Here is a 20,804-nt window from a genome sequence, read left to right as displayed (position 1 = left end):
TGTATGAAAGGAAAACACAGTCCCCCACCGATGTCCTTATCCCTTCCTACCAGATAATTCTCATGAAGAAGTATTTTATACACCAGCGTTGCCCAGGCTGGAGTGCAGGGCAATCATACCTCACTGCAGCCTTCAACTCCTGGGCTCAAGCACTCCTGCGAGTAGCTGGGACTACAGGTGTGTGCCACCACATCCAGCTAATTTTTAAAGTTTTCATAGAGTTAGGATCTCACTCTGTTGCCCAGACTTGTCTAAACGCCTGGCCTCAGTGATCCTCCCACCTTGGCCTCCTAAGGTTCTGGGGTTACAGGTGTGGGCCACTGTGCCTGGCCTTTCTAAGCCATTTTCAACTACTTTATGCCTAACTTAACAAAGGCCTTATCATGTGGACCAGTATTTGCCTCACTCTGACATATGTTTCTCCAGAGTCGGAAGCATAACTCAAGCAGCTAAGGTCACAGGGCTCCAGGAGGCAGGGCTTAGCCAGTAGGTCAAGGGCCATTCATAAGACAAAGGCTACTTTGAAAAGACTGGGGAGGATAGTCATCAGATAGGAAATTGTAAAGGAAATAAGAAACATCATTATGTTAATAATGGAGCTTGATAGTTTGTTTCTGTGCAATCTTGTGAAATACAACTTGTTTTATAAGAATTTTCAATAAAGTATTAGTTTCCTTTTGCAAAAAGTTATTAGTTTGGCATTTAGCAGCTTTCAAATATGTTGAATTTTTTTTACATAATTAAGAACCTCAATATTCTTGTTATCAAAAACATTTAGTGAGTACCTCCATGTGCAAAAAAACTGGGCTAAAGAGTCATAGGACAGAGCCCTACTGTCAAGGATCTTTGAGTCTGTCTTGAGAGATACTTCGTTCTTTTACCTCTTCCTTTGCTGTGGTTCAGATCTGATGTCACAAAACCAGTGGGGGTTGGGAGTATGCCAAAGAACAAGAATACTGAGACATTTTGCTGCAATATTTTGTGCATCCCTAAAGGCCATTTCTAAATAACAACAATGGTGATGACAACAAAATTACACCTGTCATTTATTGGGAACATACAGTGTCAAAGCACTGTGCTGAATGATCATTTATCTTTAAATGATCAGATGCGTTCAATGATCATCCAATTCTTTCACCTACTCTCTGAGGTTTCTACTCCTATTTTTGACATTTTATACATGGAGTCTGAGCTTAGAGAGATTAAGAAACTTGTATTATTTTAATAGTTGGCAGAGTTCGGATTTAAACTCAATCCTGTTAGACTTCAAAGCCATATTTGTAACCATTTTACTATGCCGATTTGTTCTGCCTGGCCTACAAATAAGAATGTATTTGTTTGTTTAATACTTATTTGTTGGATATCTACTATGTGATTAAAAAAAACGCATATATAACCACAGGCAAGGTTCCAATTAAGAAATAAATCTTAGGAGGGGCCTATGGTGAAATACAATGTGACCAAATCTTTATATATCTTGTCAAGTGTATAAACTGCAGATGGTTACAGACATAAATATTGGTAACTTCATATACCAGTTTCAGTTAGCCAAGTCTATTGAAGAATTTCACCACATTATTATTATTATTATTATTATTATTATTATTATTATTATTATTGTTATATATTTTATTTTTGAGACAGAGTCTCATTCTTGTCACCCAGGCTGGAGTGCAATGGCATGATCTTGGTTCACTGCAACCTCTGCCTCCTGGGTTCCAATGATTCTCCTGCCTCAGCCTCCCAAGTAGCTGGGATTACAGGCACCTGCCACCATGCCTGGCTAATTTTTTGTATTTTTAGTAGAGATGGGGTTTCACCATGTTGGCCAGGCTTGAACTGGTTGGTTGTCTTGAACTCCTGACCTCAGGTGATCCACCCACCTCAGTCTAACAAAGTGCTGGGATTACAATGCGTGAGCCACCGTGCCCAGCTGAATTTCACCAAATTATTTCAGCAGGTTGAAAATGTATTTTTTTAAACTATCTTCTCAATCAACAAAGCAGCAACTCAAAAACTTATTATTATTTGATTATTCTTGTAAAGATCACTTAAAAAGATTTAGAATAAAGATTATTAGCAGTCGAAATGCCCAAACTAAACTAATACTGAAATCTTCTAGGTCGGCTGTGTCATGAAACACTAAGCTGACTCTATAACAAGAAAGTGACTTTTGGTATAGATGGGAAATTTCACTTAGTGCACGCACGTCATTCCTGCTAAGCTCCTCCATCAGTGGCCTCGCTATGGTTCCTGCACCCCATCTGACATCCAGATTCAGTGTAAACATGATTCAACTTGAATGAAAAAATTACTTTAAATTTTCATAAAGAAAACAGGAATGGTCTGGGCGTGGTGGCTCACACTTGTAATCCCAGCACTTTGGGAGGCCAAGACGGGCGGATCACCTGAGGTCAGGAGTTCGAGACCAGTCTGGCCAACATGGTGAAACCCTGTCTTTACTAAAAATCCAAAAAAATTAGCTGGGCGTGGTGGCGTGCACCTGTAATCCCAGCTACTCGGGAGGCTGAGGCAGGAGAATTGGTTGAACCTGGGAGGTAGAGGTTGCAGTGAGCCAAGATTGCACCACTGCACTCCAGCCTGGGTGACAAGAGCGAAACTCCATCTCAAAAAAAAAAAAAAAAAAAAAGAAAAGAAAAGAAAAGAAAAAGAAAACAGCAATGGAGTCTTCTACTATCTCTGTTAAATGGTTGTGTGGATTGTGGTTTTATAGTTCTTCACCATGACAAAGATGAGAGGACACAGAAAAGAAACTGGTGTTCTTGTCTAAATGCCAGTTGAAAGAAGAATGCTGTCAAATCTCTTCATTCACCAACTAAAATTTGGACATACATGATTTTAAGATCCTATTTAATAAAAATCCAGTTTGAGAAAGACCTTACCATTATAACTTTGACTCTCTTCTGTTCCACAGCAGGGATTAGCACAAATGCTTCTATTCATGCTTTGTAAGTACTTATTAAATATTTACTGAAAGAATAAATGAATGCACATCTTTTCCTGCCATTATTCTAGACTGTATGCAACTTGAAAGCCCAGACCAGCTTACTTCTGTTTCTGGTCCCAGCCATCTGCTCCCTACTAAATGTTCAACATATATTTGTTGAATGAATACATTTATTATCTTCATTTTACAGACAAGGAAACTAAGGCAGAGAAAGGTTAAATAGTCAGCCTAGATATATGACCAGTGAGTGGTGGGGAGTAAGTTTTGGAATCCAGTCTCAGAGGAGGAGTTCTTGACCATTGTAATAATGTGTGGCAGGTTAAAGAAGTTCACAAGTTATTTGACATTCCTCTCATCTAGAGATGGGATCTATGCCCCTCTCCCCTGGAATTTGGGTCCCCTGATCCTAACCCTAACCTTATGACTTCTTAGATTAACTGAATATAGAGGAGATGATATTGTGACAGTTTGGGGCTCAGGATTTAAAGATTGGCTGCTTTCACTTCTTTTCTTGTTAGGATACCTAAGCTACCATGCAAGAAGTCAGACTGCCCCATGATTGGCATGCTTGAGAGGCCTCTTGTAAGTGCTCCAGGTGAGATCCCAGCCATGCCCCAGCCTTCCAGCCACCCGCACTAAGACACCAGACTGTGAGTGAAACCATCTTGTCTAGCCATTCAGTCTAGTCCATCTGCTAGCTGGGTACCACCAAGTGTTCTCAGTAAATGCAATGTGAAAGAAAAGAAACTCCCAGATGACTCCAGAATCCCCAACCTATTAAACTGTGAGAAACTGAAAAATGATGATGATGACACCACCACCACCACTACCACCAACACTAACAATAACAAGACTGCTGTTGTAAGCCACTAAACTTTAGGGTAGTTGATCACATATAGGAATAGGTAACCGGGAAGAAATATGCAATTGAGTGGAAAAATAGAGAGATCCACAAACCTGAAGTGTGAAGAACACCTGTGAGAGGACAAAAAGAAATAAAGAGAATTGCTTTTGTTGTTGGAAGTTACTAAAAACTGCCTAGTCACAGGTGACTTAGATTATGCATTCTTGACACAGGCAAAATACAATAAGGATGGGTGAATTATTCTGCTAAAAGGTGAGCGTGAGAGTAAATATGGACTCATTTTGCTAATAATTTGAATGCTTAAGTGGTAGAGGATGTTTGTTACAAAGAGAACTGATCCTTAACTAGAGATTACTACTTGCATGTCTAATATGCATCTCAAAACTAACAGGTCCAATACCAAGTCAGGGTTTCCACTCTTTCTTTCCCAAACTACTTGTCTTCAGTCTGACACATCTCAGTGAATGATAACCATATTTGCAGTTTCTTAGGCTCAAAAATTTGAAGTTTTTGACTCTGTCCACATCCAACATTCAATCCATTAGCAATTGTATCTATATTACCTTCAAATCACAGCAATTTCATGGGAAGGCAATAACAAGCTTAGAATGGAGAAAAATAAAAGAATCCCACAATTATATTTTAAAAATTGATGAGTGTATTAGTCTGTTCTCATGCTGCTAATAAAGATATACTGGAGATGGTAATTTATTAAGGAAAGAGGTTTAATTGACTCACAGTTCCGTATGGCTGGGGAGGCCTTACAATCATGGTGGAAGGCAAATGAGGAGCAAAGTCACATCTTACATGGGGGCAGGCAAGAAAGAGCTTGTGCATAGGAGCTCCCATTTATAAAACCTTCAGATCTCATGAGACTTATTCATTATCATGAGAATAGTATGGGAGAAACTGCCCCCATGATTCAATTATCTCCACCTGGACTCATCCATGATACATGGGGATTATTACAATTCAGGGTGAGATTTGAGTGGGGACACAGGCAAATCATATCAATGAGTTTTTTAATTGTAAGATTAAAAAAAGAAGCAATTTAGAGCCACCATAGTTTAGAATAATGTGCTTCATGCCTTAGGCATTGTTGTTTTTCTCCCCAATATTTGACCAGGATTAGTGTTACATGGAACAAACTTTGGGGAAAGCTGCTGTGGGCATCAGATATCCTATACTTAGTAAACTGATAGTTTTTATAATATCCTTGTGGACATGAAAGAGAAATGTGGGATAAGTGAGAATATTGTCAGGTGAATTTACATCTGATCAAACATTTACAACAAATGATAAAGAGACCAATTTTAATATAGTTTTTCAATGGCCATGCCTAATTTTTTAATCAATAGATTAAAGTGAAATACAGAAGCTTGGCAAATTTGTAGGTACTCCCCAAATTGGGTAAGCTAGCTGATTGATTCGGTAGATTCAAAATCTTTTCTTTAGATCAGAATGTTGGATTGAAAGCATCAAGGAGATAATGTGCAGGCATCAGTAGAAATATTTACATACTTAATGTTCTGGAAAAGTATGCTAATTAAATATAATATTGAGGTAAACTTTGCCTGGCAATAGTTTATGTGAGGAAGACAAGTTTACCTAGTTGCAAAAGCATGGTCATGCAATATTAATCTGTATTTATAGAGAAGTCTAGATAAAGGGGCCTGATAAATACATGTGCAAATGTCATAAACTTGCTCAAGTTACGATTTTAAGTCACCTATTAATTGTGGAAGTCTGGTCACCTCTACTCAATCATATTATTCCTTGTTTCTCTGGTCAACAATCACCCATTCCCAAATCTTGCCAGTTCCTATTACCTTAAGCCCTTACTTCAAGCCTTCTTTACCTTTCCTTTGCTTATTCCTCTTCTCTCTTAGGCAAGATAGATCCAGCTGCTACAAAAGCCCTCCAAATTTCTTACATTTCTTATGTAATATATTATGGGTGATTATAAATTAACCCCCAGATTTTAGTGGATTTTTAACTCACACAATAATTCAATGGAGGTTTTCTTTGTTAGGTAGATCTCCTATTTCCCTCTCTAGCTTTTGTGTGCAATACCTCTAGCAAAAATCCCAAATGAGTTACTGAACATAGAGTTCATAGAAGAAATAAGATATGTTTACTATTATATTTCTAGATTCAGCAAAGTTATTGGCTTTATTAATTTATTTAACAGATATTTATCGAGTGCCAACTTTATGTTAGCTATTGTTTTAGGTGCTGCTAAAACTGACAAACAAGCAAAAACGTTTGTGTTTTCATAGACTTGGTATTATAGGTGAGGAGACATAATTAAACACATTATCAATGGATGAGATAATTTCTGATAATGATAGAACTGTGAAGAAAATACAACTGGATGATGTGATGGAGATTATAGTGGGAGATATTTTAGATTGGTAGACTCTTTTGAAAAGATGACATTTGAGCTGTTACTGTCAGGATGAAGCTGGCCACTCTAAGATCTGGTGAGAGGGTGTATCATGCAGAGTAAGCTGTGATGCAAAGGCTCCAAGTAACAATGAGCTTGGTATGTTCAAGGACCAAGACCTCCCAAATCGGGGTTAAGGTCTTATAGGCCCATATAGGCTAATGGCTCCATATGTGCTAAGGAGTTTGGATTTTATTCTGAATGCAGTGAGAAGGCAATTGAGGGATTTCAGCAGGGAGTAATATTAACTAATCTACCCATTTTAAAGTTGGCTATGGCTGCTGTGTGGAGACTATATTTGAAAAGGGCTAGAGCAGAAACAGGCAGTTGCAGTAATGCAGGCAAGAGACACTGGACTTCATTGAGGTGATGGTAACAGTGGAAATACATAGAAATGAACAAACATGGGGTATTCTTTGGAGTGAGAGTTGACAGAACTTATTAATAGACTTGGATTTTGCATTAGTGGTGGTGCCATTTAATGAGATGGGGAAGACTGGTAAAAGGTGGGGAAGTAAGTCGTCCTTATTCAAAGTTTGAGTTACCAATTCAGGATCCAAATAGAACTATCAAGCAGGTAACTGGATATACAGAACTGAAGTATAATGGATGGGTTGGAACTGGAGTCACTGGCCATTTGCAAGACGGCTACAGCAGTTTCTTGTATCCATCCAAATAAGCAGAAAAGAGTCATCCTTGCTTTGTCTCTAAGAGAGAAGAAACTTTATCATACTTATCCTCATGTTCATTGGCTACAATTGCATCACATGACACTGTGTAAGCCAGCCGTTGGCCAGGGGAAAAGGATCACCATGGTTGGCATGGCTTAATCAAAACCATTCCCTGGGCTGAGGTTAGGGCCAATCTTCAGCAACATGGACAAGACAATATGGACAAGAATAGAGGTGTGGACAGCTCAGGGTTCTTTTGGAAAGGAAGAAAGAAGTGATAGACATTAGAGAGGCAACAAAGATTCTAGTTAAAGTCCAATTTGACTTGTTTGCTATTAAATGGGGCAGTATATTACCTCAGAGAGTGTATGTGAGGTTATACGACACCATGGTGTGAAAGCTTTTTGTAAACTATAAAATAGTATAGAATAGGTAAGTTAGTCTGAGTCAGACTATTCCTAATATTTTCCCATTTTTCCTGTGTTATGTCAATATTTGTTTTGATGCTGCTTAATTAGTTTTTCAAAGCCTTAAGATAGAAATTGAAGATGATAAAAGTAGGTGCCCTTAGCATATTTGCTTTCCAAGAGATTCATGTCTTTCCCTTACTACATATTGCTAATGTTTTTCTCCTTCTTTCTTATATCCACAAGCCCCTTCACATGAAAAATGGTACCATTTTGAAATTAGATATTTATGGAAAGGAAATGCTTATTAATAAAAACCTGCTGAACTCTTCTGAGGCATTCATTTGCCCATTGATAGCCACACATAAGAAAATGACTTAACCTTAGGTCAGCTGTTGACAGAGTTGAAATGATCATTTTACAGTTATTGAGGGCCTACAGAATGGTAGGTTCTGATGAGAACATATAATAAATGTAATCCCTGACCTAGAATGTGGGAATTACTTGTTGCAATTATAGGTTCAATGAACATTGTAATCTACCTGCTTTTAAAGCTGTAACTGTGCCTTTTCACTTAAACCTTAAAGTCATAGTAAAAATAATGTAGTTTTTTCAAAGATAATTTTATTTCATTTTGTATCTCCATTTTTTTTGGCTTAAAAAGAACATAAACTTTGAAAAATTAAATCTACATAGAATAAAATGACAATGAACCAAACTTTGGTGTGGAGATGGAGGTTGGGGATTCTTGGTTGAAGTGGAGAGCATGGGCTTGTATTTTTATTTTCATTTTTGTACCATATTCTTTAACTCTTTGCCATTCATCAGAAATTATTGGTGTGACTTGTTAATGGAAAACTCTTTGGACTGTGTTGATGGTAAGTGAGAATCATTGGTTTTATGCCGTGGTACACCGACTTCTATTGTCAAAGGCTGTCAGCACTAGGTGCTTGCCTGATACAAAATGGTATCTTCCTCTCAGATTTGCTTTCATTACAAGTGCGTTTAGGGGCAGGCACAGGGCTATATTGTGTAGCAGCACTTTGTTTTTAGCCATTTATTAATTCTACAAATATTGCATGCCTAACATATGCCAGGCTCTGTACTAGTGGGGGACTAGTATTTTAAATAAAATAAATATAATCTTACACTTTATGGAATATGTCATTAGCAAGGAATACAGTTATTACACTAATAATCAGGTCTGACTCTAATGTTTGTGGGGCCTGAGGCCAGAGTAACAATGGGAGCCACATATCAAATATTTAAAGATTTTAAAGTGATCAGTTAAGCTATGCTTTGTCTCAGTTCATGCTCCTGTTCACAGCCTTGATGCTCCACAGCCCAGGGATTACCCCTGTGATCTGGAGGCTAAAGGAGACCCATCTCCCCAAGGTTAGTCTTGCCATCTTGACCCTGAGTGGCAACAGTTGCTGCTGGCACAGGGCAAGGGAGAAGGTGAGCTAGAGGTTCAGTCCTTGGGACTAAAGTCACCCGAAACTGGCCTAGGAACACATTGTTCAAGTGTCCAGGGAACTGGAATAGGGAGGTCCCATCCCTCATATATCACTTTCTCACACCCTTTTGTTAGGTGGTTCTAAGTATTAATACCTCTCCACTACAAGGGATGAAAGGGATGGTGTGCAACTTACTGGGAAATCCTGTCTGCTTTGGGTATTCTGGGGCAGACAACTTTAAATGGCCTCTTGCTATCTCATATCTCAGGGCAGAGGCTGAGCTTGTCTTCTCCCTGACATCTGCTCTCTTGTTCTCAGCCCGCCATACTCTGGCCTGCATTATTCAGTTTGTTCAGTGCATCCCTCTTCCCTAATTCACTAAAAAATAAACTGAACTGTCAACATGCTTTCTTTTGAGACTGAAAAAAATTGTATGTGCATTTTAATGTTCGTGGTATGTATGGTTCTCTAAAGCAAGAGGCCCAGGACAAAACCCTTCTTGCCTGGATTTAGGTCAGGTTGCCAATAATCTTACACATACTTGTGTAGTTACAAGTCATGATAAGTGTCATGAAGGAAGAAAACAGAGGGCTGAGGGCTAGGAGGGAGTACCTACAGGATCCCAGTGTAGAGGGGTAGTAATGGGCTGTGTACATCAGGCAAGACCTCCTGGAGGAAGAGATATGTCATCTGAGACTGGAGCATAGGCCATGATTGACACCAAATCTAAGCAATGTCCTCAACTTGACTAACCCATTTCATGCAATAAGGTATAGAGTCTACAATTTAGGCTTTTTACAAAATACAATTTTCATGTTTAGTTGCTCTTTATAAAAGTAATACCTGTTCATTATAAAATAATTGAGTAATTTACTAAGGTAAATAAATATGGCTATTTTCCTTAAGGTAAAATGATGACTATTTCCTGTAAGTCCATCTCTCAGAGTAAATTTGAAATTTACATATGATTTAATTTTCTTCTAGATTTTTTCTCGTGCATACAACAATTTTTCTTTGTGGATATAAAAATAATCACTTATTTTGTAATCTTTCACTGCTCCAAGGTGGGGCTCTTTCCTATCTCCATGGTTAACTAATTACGTACGTTCTAACTCCCAGCAGTGGGGTCTGGAGGGCACTGAGCATGCATTCCTTAGTATGGGGTAGATAAAATGTGGGTATCTAACTGAACCTAAAGCTAAGATCCCTTTAGTTCTTGTGTCATTATGCATGAACCTAACGACTTCTAGGCTGTGGTGTAAAATCTAATAGGCTGGAAATGATTGCAGTTCAGTTATTGTTCCCTTCCCAAATGGTCTTCCTTATTTTCAGATGATGCCTGAGGTTGCAGTATTTGTCCCCTTTTTAATGCCTGGGCACCCTGTCTTCTTTCTCTCTATATTTGTAATCACACTTCAGGCCAGTTCTGTGAGTATGCTCCACACCAATTAATGAGCTGTTTTTTGGATTTGTTAGCTATTCTTACCTATGTTGACCCAGGGACTAAATTTAGAGGGTCCTAAACATAGATTCAATTTCTGGGTCAGTCACTTACTGATGGTGTAAATGTGGACAGACCACTTCACTTCTTAGTGTCTTCCTTGAAACACAAGATATCAGAGTTTGCTCTGTCCTCCGCATAGGGGCAATGTGAAATTACATTGAGATAATGTGTGTGAAGGAGCTTTGTAAATTGTAAAGCTTGTACCACTCATTTCTAGGACAAGCTTCCACTTAACTGAGAAATCACTGCTTCTATCTGTCTTTTAATGATCACTTCCAGAGTACCATTTCTTGAGAAGCATGTCCTGAACCAATGAGACAAGGGATAGAACGTGTACCCATTTTAATGCCTCCAACATGAAAACACTTCTTTTATATAGTGAAGTTTATACATAATTTTGTATATAGCTTCCTTTGGTTTAGAATATAGCTTAACATTTATAAATAACCACTACACAAATATTCCCCAATTTTAAACATACTTTCTTTATGGAAATTCTGATGGCAAGATAAAGGGAACCTGCATTTTTAATCAGTTGGCGGTCTGCATTTTTTAATGGTTGATATAGAATTATGGTCTATTATCTATAGTTTGTTACAAATAATGCCTAGGAAAGGATTTAGGTGATTCATTAGGTGGTAATTTAGGTCCTTGCATATTATTGTTGTTAATTAATGATAATAAAAACAATCCAAATGTTGGAATAGGGAGAGATGACACCAGATTTGATAGACCTTCTTGAGAAGGTTCCAATACCCCATAGAGTGGGGGCTTTGGTTTGAGCAGTTTTGTTGACCACTTTCATGATCTCTGAAGCTGAAGCCAAGATGAGTTATCACTCATTTAATGTGTAGGCTGTTTTTTCCCCCACTATCCCTAATTGTAAATTATACAATTTCAACCTCTACAGCCAGCATTTAATATATCTGACTTTATTGCTTTCCATTTTATGAAAATTAATTACAGTTCACATTCTGACACTGAAATTAAAGGGTAAGCACTAAATCTTGTACACAACAATAGGAAATTAAGAGAACATTCTTTATAATCAGAATAATGAAGACCAGAGATGCTTGTTTTTCTTCTCTTAAGGCACTGGGGAGTGAGATAAAACCAGATTTAAACAGGACATTGCCCCTCCAACAATTCATGCCATTGCAGCCTGAAAAACAGAATAAAATCATAACACTTTAATTTAAAAATTCCAACCTCTTCCATTTCATTTAGAGGGGAATTATTTTGTGATAACATCTTAGGCTACAGAACTCTGTTCCTGGGGGCTGTTTTACCAGGGAACCAAGACATTTAGGAGAGGAAGCTGATTAGTATCAATCATGGACCAACTTCAGTGGATTCAGTGAATGTTTCTAAAAGAAAAAACAGTTTTGTAAAAATAAAAATTAAGATAAATGGCAAAGAGCTTGAAATGTATATGTGATATAAATGTGTTTCTTTTGGTAGCCTATCTGGCCACAGGTTTCTGAAGGGCAGCAACAGTATATAATATTCCATTTGATAAGCATTTTACAGTTTGCAAATGCAATGGACCAAGTTCTTATGTTCTGTTCTCCCCCCAGTTTATATGTTGAAATCCTATCTCCCAAGGCAAGGAGATTAGGAGGTAGGGCCTTTGGGAAGTGTAATGGTTTGAATGTGTTCCCCAAATTTCATGTGTTGGAAACTTAATCTCCAAATTCATACATTGATGGCATTTGGAGGTGGGGCCTTCAGAAGGTAGTTAGGCCTAGATATGATCATCAGCATGGGCCAACCATGATAGAACTGGTGGCTTTATAAGAAGAAGAAGAAGAGAGACTTGAGAGAACTTGGCATGTTCTTGGCCTCTCACCATGTGATGGCCTCTCCATGCTATGACTCAGCAAGAAGGTCCTCCCCAGATGCCAGTGCCATGCTCTTGGACTTCCTAGTCTTGAGAACCATGATCTAAATAAATGTACTTTTCTTATAAATTATCCAGTCTGTGGTGTTCTGTTATAGCAATAGAAAATGGGCTAAGACAGGAGGTGACTCTATTGTTAAGGGGAACTCTCATGATTGGGATCAATGCTCTTATAAAAGAGACTCCAGAGAACTAGCTAGCCCTTTCCTCCATGTGGGACACAGTGAGAAGGCACCATTATTGAACCAGAAAGCAGTCTGTAACCAGACACTAAATCTGCTGGTACCTTGATCTTGGACTTCTCAATCTCCAGAACTGTGAGAAATAAATTTCTGTTCTTTATAAGCTATCTAGTGTATGATTTTGTTAGAGAAGCTTGAATAGATTAAGACAGCAGGGTATTTTCATATACATCACTTAATTTAGCACTCACAATAATCTAGTGAGAAACATATTTTTAAAAATAGATCAAGCAACTGTGTTTACTCTACATAGTATTAGCGCAGTCATTTCCAAATCTTTTTTGGGGGGTAATAGATTCATTAAAAAATTATGACCAAACCCAACATATAAAACATATGAAAGCGGGGTGAAAAGATAAATGGGTAAAAACCTGTTCACTTGGTCTTCCCAGTCCTTAAATATATTACCAAGGTACTTCTATGGGGATTCATGAAGCACAGTTTGAAAATTGATGTCATAAAATGTAAAGTGTTCAATAAATGTTGTCCAAGCAGCATTCATTGTGCCCTCCCTATGTACAATGACGTAGTATCTGATGGAGTTCTGTTATTTCTTTCTCCTGGCCCAGTCTCCTTCTGATAATAATAGAAGGCATGTCTTTGAAAGGCCCTAAAATAAGGATGGCACTGGCATCTGTCCTTGCTTACTTACCTAAAAACTAAATAAAAAATTAAAAATATTTGACAGATCTTTTTCTGCATTATTATGAAATATGCTCAACTAGGTATTTGCATATTTTAGGGCAATGCTTTTGTGTATGTGTTGAAATTTACCACAACTACATTTTGGCTTCCTAATGTTAAAAGGTGTGTTGAAACATGTAAGCCCAAATAAATTAGTGTTACCAAATTTCATGAATCAAGTGTTGGTAACTACAAGTTCTCTTTCCCTGTGGCTTATAATCTATAAGACCCTTCTATTGGAAAAAACAATGTCTTGTAATGTTTTGTTGACTGCTAAGTTTTGAGAAACAGAATTTTTTTTATGACATCATTCATTGACATACACCTGAGGTTTTGTGTACTTGGCTTGAGTAAAAGACTATGGCTAGAAATTGTCCTCAGTTCTGTCTCAATATTGGCAACCACAGTTGCTACTCTGGATACATGACTCTGCATTTAAATTCCATTCAATTAATTCAAGTAAATTCACTGTTTTCATTGAGTGACTACTGTGTGTCAAATGCTGCTCTAGCTGCCTAAGATACATCAGTGAACAGAGGAGTCTCTGTGAGCTTATAGTCTAGTGAGGGAGTCAGACAAGTAAGCAAAGAGTTACAGGAAATGTAAAAAATTCTTTGAAATCAGTACAGGGTCCTATGTCAAGGCATCATAGAGGAATTTAATTTAGGGTTAGGAAGTGATATCTAAAGGATATCAAAAGGAAGTGGTGTTGGATAAAAAACAAAACTGATAGATTCAGAAGGGAACTTCTGGAATAGCAGATTAAGAAACTAGTTATTTTTCTCTCCTCAAAAATCAATAATAGAACTAGATAGAACTATCAAAAACAATCATGTAAGTACTCTATAAATAGATCAAAGGCGTACAACAAATTTAGAAATATTTATTTAAGTAAAACAACTGAAATTCAAGTAAAAGTGTGAGTCTGTGGCATTTTAGCCCTTCAGCTCTATTGGTATGGAAATTCTAACAGGGTAGGGCAAGCTATGGGAACTACTTGAGGGGAATGATTTGATTTAGAGCAGGTGCAAGTCAGCGGCATTGCAAACAGTAGCAATCTCAGTGGCAAACAATCAGAAAAGGCCACCCTCACAGCTAGCTTGAGGTTGCCATTAGGTTGGGGTAAGCGACAGACTAGTAGACTAGCTAGTTTCTAGTAGACTAGACTAGAAATTTAACAAAGAAAATGAGGTGGCCATAGTGAGTCTGAATAAGCTTCCACATACTCATGGTGGTTTGGAAGGATGCACACTTGTAAAAGGTTATACACATGCTCAAGAGAGACTGGAGAGGTCATAGCTATCTACCACTCTCTGGATGAATGTAAGGCACCTGCTTTAAATCAAGTCACCCCCCTCTCTAAACATGGTTCAAGACAACATGAAAAGACCTAGCAAAAACCAAAAGCAGAACAGCATTTTAAGATGACTGAACTTATGTATGAGGACATGCGGTGTTTGGTTTTCTGCTCCTGTGTTAGTTTGCTGAGAACGATGGCTTCCAGGTTTATCCAAGTCCCTGAAAAGGACAAGATCTCATTCTTTTTTATGGCTGCATTGTATTCCATGGTGAATATGTGCTGCATTTTCTTTATCCAGTCTACCATCGATGGGCATTTGGGTTGATTCCATGTCATTGCTATTGTGAATAGTGCTGCAATAAACGTACATGTGCATGTGTCTTTATAACAGAATGATTTACATTCTTTTGGGTATATACCCAGTAAATGGGATTGCTGGGTCAAATGATATTTCTGGTTCTAGATCCTTGTGGAATCCCCATGCTGTCTTTCACAATGGTTGAACTAATTTACATTCCCATCAATAGTATAAAAGCATTCCTATTTCTCCATAGCCTCACCAGCATCTGTTGTTTCTTGACTTTGTAATAATTGCCATTCTGACTGGCATGAGATGGTATCTCACTGTGGTTTTGATTTGCATTTCTCTAATGATCAGTGATGTTGAGCTTTTTTTTCATGTATTGGTGGCCACATAAATGTCTTCTTTTGAGAGTATTTGTTCATGTCCTTTGACATGATGGGGTTGTTTTTTTCTTGTAAATTTGTTTAAGTTCCTTGTACATTCTCGACATTAGACCTTCGTCAGATGGATACATTACAAAAATTTTCTCCCATTCCGTAGGTTGTCTGTTTACTCTGATGATAGTTTCATTTACTGTGCCGAAGCTCCTTAGTTGAATTAGGTCACACTTGTCAATTTTTGCTTTTGTTGCAATTGCTTTTGATGTCTTGACCATGAAATCTTTTCCTTTGCCTATGTGCTGAATGGTATTGCCCAGATTTTCTCTTAGGATTTTTACCATTTTGGGTTTTACATTTAAGCTTTTAATCCATCTTGAGTTAATTTTTGTATAAGGTATAAGGAAGGGGTCCAGTTTCAATTTTCTGCCTATGGCTAGCCAGTTTTCCCAGCACCATTTATTAAATAGAGAATCCTTTCCCCATTGCTTGTTTTTGTCAGTTTTGTCGAAGATCAGATGGTTGTAGATGTGTGGTCTTATTTCTGAGATCTCTATTCTGTTCCATTGCTCTATGTGTCTGTTTTGGTACCAGAACCATGCTGTTTTGGTTACTGTAGCCTTATAGTATGGTTTGAAGCCAGGTAGCATGGTGCATCTAGCTTTGTTCTTTTTGCTTCGGATTGTCTTTGCTATCTGGGCTCTTTTTTGGTTCTATATGAATTTTAAGGTAGTTTTCTCTAATGCCATGAAGAATGTCAATGGTAGTTTAATGGGAATAGCAATGAATCTATAAATTACTTTGGGCAGTATGGCCATTTTCATTATACTAATTCTTCCTATTCAAGAGCATGGAATGTTTTTCCATTTGTTTGTGTCCTCTCGTATTTCCTTGGGCAGTTTTTATGTTCTCCTTGAAAAGGTCCTTTACATCCCTTGTTAGCTGTATTCATAGGTATTTTATTTTCTTTTTAGCAACTGTGAATGGGAGTACATTCATGATCTGGCTCTCTGCTTGTCTATTGTTTGTGTATAGGAATGCTTGTGATTTTTGCGCATTGATTTTGTATCCTGAGACTTTGCTGAATTTGCTTATCAGCTTTTGCACTGAGACTGGGGTTTTCTATATACAGGATCATGTCATCTGCAAACAGAAACAATTTGACTTCCTCTCTTCCTATTTGAATATCCTTTATTTCTTTCTTTTGCCTGATTGCCCTGGCCAAAACTTCAAATACTATGTTGAATAGGAGTGGTGAGAGAGGGCATCCTTGTCTTGTGCCAGTTTTCAAAGGGAATGCTTCTGGCTTTTGACCATTCAGTATGATATTGGCTGTGGGTTTGTCATAAATGGCTTTTATTATGTTGAGATATGTTCTATCAATACCTAGTTTACTGAGAGTTTTTAATATGAAGGGTGGTAAATTTTATCGAAGGCCTTTTCTGTGCCTATTGAGATAACGATGTGGTTTTTGTCATTGGTTCTGTTTATGTGATGAATTATGTTTATTGATTTGCATATGTTGAACCAGCCTTGCATCCTAGGGATGAAGTTGACTTGATTCTGGTGCATAAGCTGTTTGATGTGTTGCTGGAATTGGTTTGCCAGTATTTTATTGAAGATTTTTGCATCAATGTTTGTCAGGAATATTGACCTGAAGTTTTTTGTCGTTATTGTTGTATCTCTGCCAAGTTTTGGTATCACAATGGTGCTGGCCTCGTAAAATGAAATAGGGAGAAGTCCCTCCTTTTCAATTGTTTGGAATAGTTTCAGAAGTACCAGCTCCTCTTTGTACCTCTGGTAGAATTCAGCCATAAATCCTTCTGGTCCTGGGCTTTTTTTTGTTGGTAGGCTATTTATTGCTGCCTCAATTTCCAAACTTGTTATTGGTCTATTCAAGGATTCTACTTCTTCCTGGTTTAGCCTTGGGAGAGTGTGTGCGTCCAGGAATTTATCCATTTCTTCTAGATTTTCTAGTTTATTTGCATAAAAGTGTTTCTAGTATTCTCTGATAGTTGTTTGTATTTCTGCAGGTCAGTGGTGATATCACTTCTATCATTTTTTATTGTGTCTATTTGATTCTTCTCTGTTTTCTTCTTTATTAGTCTAGCTAGCAGTCTATTTTATGAATTTTTTTTCAAAAAAACACCTCCTGCATTCATTGATTTTTTTAAAGCATTTTTTTTGTGTCTCTGTTTTCTTCAGTTCCACTCTCACCGTTATTTATTGTTTTCTGCTAGCTTTTGGATTTGTTTGCTCTTGCTTCTCTAGTTCTTTCAGTTGTGATGTTAGGGTGTCGATTTTAGATCTTTCTTGCCTTCTGATGTGGGCATTTAGTGCTATAAATTTTCCTCTGTACACTGCTTTAGCTGCATCCCAGAGATGCTGGTACATTGTCTCTTTGTTCTAATAGGTTTTAGAGAACTTCTTGATCTCTGCCTTAATTTTATTATTTACCCAGGAGTCTTTCAGGAGCATGTTGTTCAATTTCCATGTACTTGTGTGATTTTGAGTGAGTTTCTTTTTTTTTGAGACGGAGTCTTGCTCAGTTGCCCAGGCTGGAGGGCAGTGGTGCAATCTTGGCTCACTGCAAGCTCTGCCTCCCGGGTTCATGCCGTTCTCCTCAGCCTCCTGCCTCAGCCTCCTGAGTAGCTGGGACTACAGGTGCCTGCCACCATGCCTGGCTAATTTTTTTTTTATTTTTAGTAGAGATGGGGTTTCACCATGTTAGCCAGGATGGTCTTGATCTCCTGACCTCGTGATCCACCTGCCTTGGCGTCCCAAAGTGCTGGGATTACAGGCTTGAGCCACCTCACCCAGCCTTGAGTGAGTTTCTTTATCTTCAGTTCTAATTTGATTGCACTGCTATCTGAGAGACTGTTTGTTATGATTTCCGTTGTTTTGTTTTTGCTGAGAAGTGTTTTACTTCCAACTTTGTGATCAATTTTAGAGTAAGTGCCTTGTGGCACTGAGAAGAATGCATATTCTGTGGGTTTGGGTTGGAGAGTTGGATAGATATCTGTCAGGTCCACCTGATCCAGAGCTGAGTTCAAGTCCTGAATATCCTTGTTAATTTTCTGTCTCAATATTGACAGTGGGGTGTTAAAGTCTCCCACTATTATTTTGTGGGAGTCTAAGTCTCTTTGTAGGTCTCTAACAACTTGTTTTATGAATCTGAGTGCTCCTGTATTGGATACATTTGTATTTAGGATTGTTAGCTCTTCTTGTTGAATTGATCCCTTTACCATTATGTAATGGCCTTCTTTGTCTTTTTTGATATTTGTTGGTTTAAAGTCTGTTTTGTCAGAAACTAAGATTGCAACCTCTGCTTTTTTCTGCTTTCCATTGCTTGGTAAGTTTTCCTCCATCCCTTTATTTTGAGCCTATGTGTGTCTTTGCATGTGAGATATGTCTCTTGAATACAGCACACCAATGGGTCTTGACTCTTTATCCAATATGCCAGTCTGTGTCTTTTAATTGGGGCATTTAGCCCATTTACATTTAAGGTTAATATTGTTACATGTGAACTTGATCCTGTTATCTGATCCTAGCTGGTTATTTTGCAGACTAGTTGATGCAGTTTCTTCATAATGTCATTGGTCTTTTACTTCAGTATGTTTTTTCGGTGGCTGGTACCAATTTTTCCTTCCCATTTTTAGTGCTTCCTTCAGGAGACCTTGTAAGGGAGGCCTGGTGGTGACAAATTACCTCAGCATTTGCTTATCTGAAAAGGATTGTATTTCTTCTTCATTTACGAAGCTTAGCTTAGCCAGATGTGAAATTCTGGGATGGAAATTATTTTCTTTAAGAATGTTGGGCCGGGCGCAGTGGCTCACGCCTATAATCCCAGCATTTTGGGAGGCCGAGGTGGGTGGATTACCTAAGGTCGGGAGTTTGAGACCAGCCTGACCAACATGAAAAAACCCCATCTCTACTAAAAATACAAAATTAGCCGGGCGTGGTCTCACCCAGCTGGGGGGCATGGGATCCAGGACCCACTTAATGAAGCATTCTGGCTGTCCCTTGGTGGAGGGGGTGTGCTGCTAGAGCTAGGAAAACCCACTTGTCTGTTCAGCCTGGATTTCTCAGAGCTAGCAGGGGGAAAGACTGTGTGTGCTGGTCAATGGAGACCATGGTCACCCCTTCCCCTAGGGGTTCAGGCCCAGGGAGATCAGAGTTCTGTCCCTAAGCCCTTGGCTATAGTTGCTGAAGTTCCTGTAGGGAGGCCCCACCCATTGAGGAGGGATGGGTCAGGGTTTGGCCTAAAGAGGCAGTCTGGCCACAATCTGCCGCAGCCAGTGTGCTGCACTGTGGGGAATACTGCTTGAGTCCAAGCTGTCTGGTCCCCCTTATACTAGCACGGGAAAAATGGCTGCCTGGAGCAGTAGTGATGGCTGCTGCCCTTCCCCTCTGGGAGTTCAGTGTCTAAGGCAGCTGGCAGCTGCAATGATGGCTGCCATCCCTTCCCCCAGGGAGCTTAGTTTTCTTAGGCAGCTGCAGGGATGATGGCCACCCCTCCCCCTGGGAATTTGGCAGTCTTAGGCAGACTCTAGCAAAGTGACTTTTGAGAATCTGCACAGCTCTGTGTTTGGGACCCAAGGTCCTTGTGGCATAGGCTCACGAGTGGGATCTCCTGATCTGCAGATTGCATAGATCTGTGGAAAAAGCATGGATTCCCAGGCTGGGTAACATGCTCACTCCCTGCCTCTTTTGCCTGGGACCTTGGGGCTCCCCTTGCCCCATGTGGCTCTCAGGTGGGCTGACACACCACCCTGCTTTTCCTTGGTCTCCTTGGGTCATGCCAACCATCTAATCAGTCCTGATGATAGAACTTGGATACATCAGTTACCAGTGGGAACCTCCAACTGCAGCTGTTTCTAGTCAGTCATCTTGGCCTTGCCCCCCAAACATTGAATGCATTCAAACTCTATTGGCTCAAGATGATTAAGCACAACTTTTCACCAATCTTTCACTGATGACTAAGCTATGCTAAGCAACAGACAACTCTTAGGAAGACAGGCTTAACTATGAAAACAAGAATTTAAAAACAACAAACTCAGCATAAACATCAGCAGCTAAGCACTGTAAGGGAGGAAGATTCTATAGTCTGTCAAACACTAAACAAGCAATAACTTCCTGGGGAGGGAAGGAGATCAAAACCTAAAGTTGTTACATTGTGCAAAATGCCTAGTTTTTAATAAAAAACAACAAAATATGCATAAGAACAGGAAAGTCTAACCTACACAGGAGAAAAAAAAAGCAGTGAATAGAAACTGTCTCTGAGAGGTCCCAGGTATTGAATTTAGTAAAGAAGAGCCTCAAAACAGCTATTGTAAATATACTTAAAGAAGTAAAGAAAATTTATGTTTAAAGAATTAAAGGAAAGCATGACAACAATAATGCATTAAATGAAGAATATCAATAAAAGGAGAGAAATTACAAAAGGGATCAACTGAAAAATTTAAATCTGGAAGACAGAATCAGAAAACTTGAAGATAAATCAATAAAAACTTTAAGGGATAAAGGAATATAAAGGAAAGTGAACAGAGCTTCAAAGGCCCATGGAATACCATCAAATACACCAACACACACACAGTAAGAATGCCAGAGGGGAGGAGAGAGAAAAGGGGAAAAATCTGATAAAATTTTGAATAAAACATTAACTTACACCATGAAGAA

At 38.6% G+C, this 20,804-nt stretch overlaps 1 annotated feature.

Annotated features, from left to right (window-relative positions):
- Window positions 18,931–19,430: an enhancer, noted in NCBI's record as "H3K27ac hESC enhancer chr4:85263663-85264162 (GRCh37/hg19 assembly coordinates)". NCBI's record gives its function as "activates a minimal SCP1, AML or CMV promoter by ChIP-STARR-seq in naive H9 embryonic stem cells {active_cell/tissue: H9 hESC(naive)}" and the evidence as "EXISTENCE:reporter gene assay evidence [ECO:0000049][PMID:30033119]".

This window comes from Homo sapiens, chromosome 4, assembly GCF_000001405.40.
Source record: "Homo sapiens chromosome 4, GRCh38.p14 Primary Assembly".
Taxonomy (NCBI): domain Eukaryota; kingdom Metazoa; phylum Chordata; class Mammalia; order Primates; family Hominidae; genus Homo; species Homo sapiens.
Note: the sequence above shows the minus strand (reverse complement) of the source record. Positions and strands in the feature narration are given on the sequence as shown.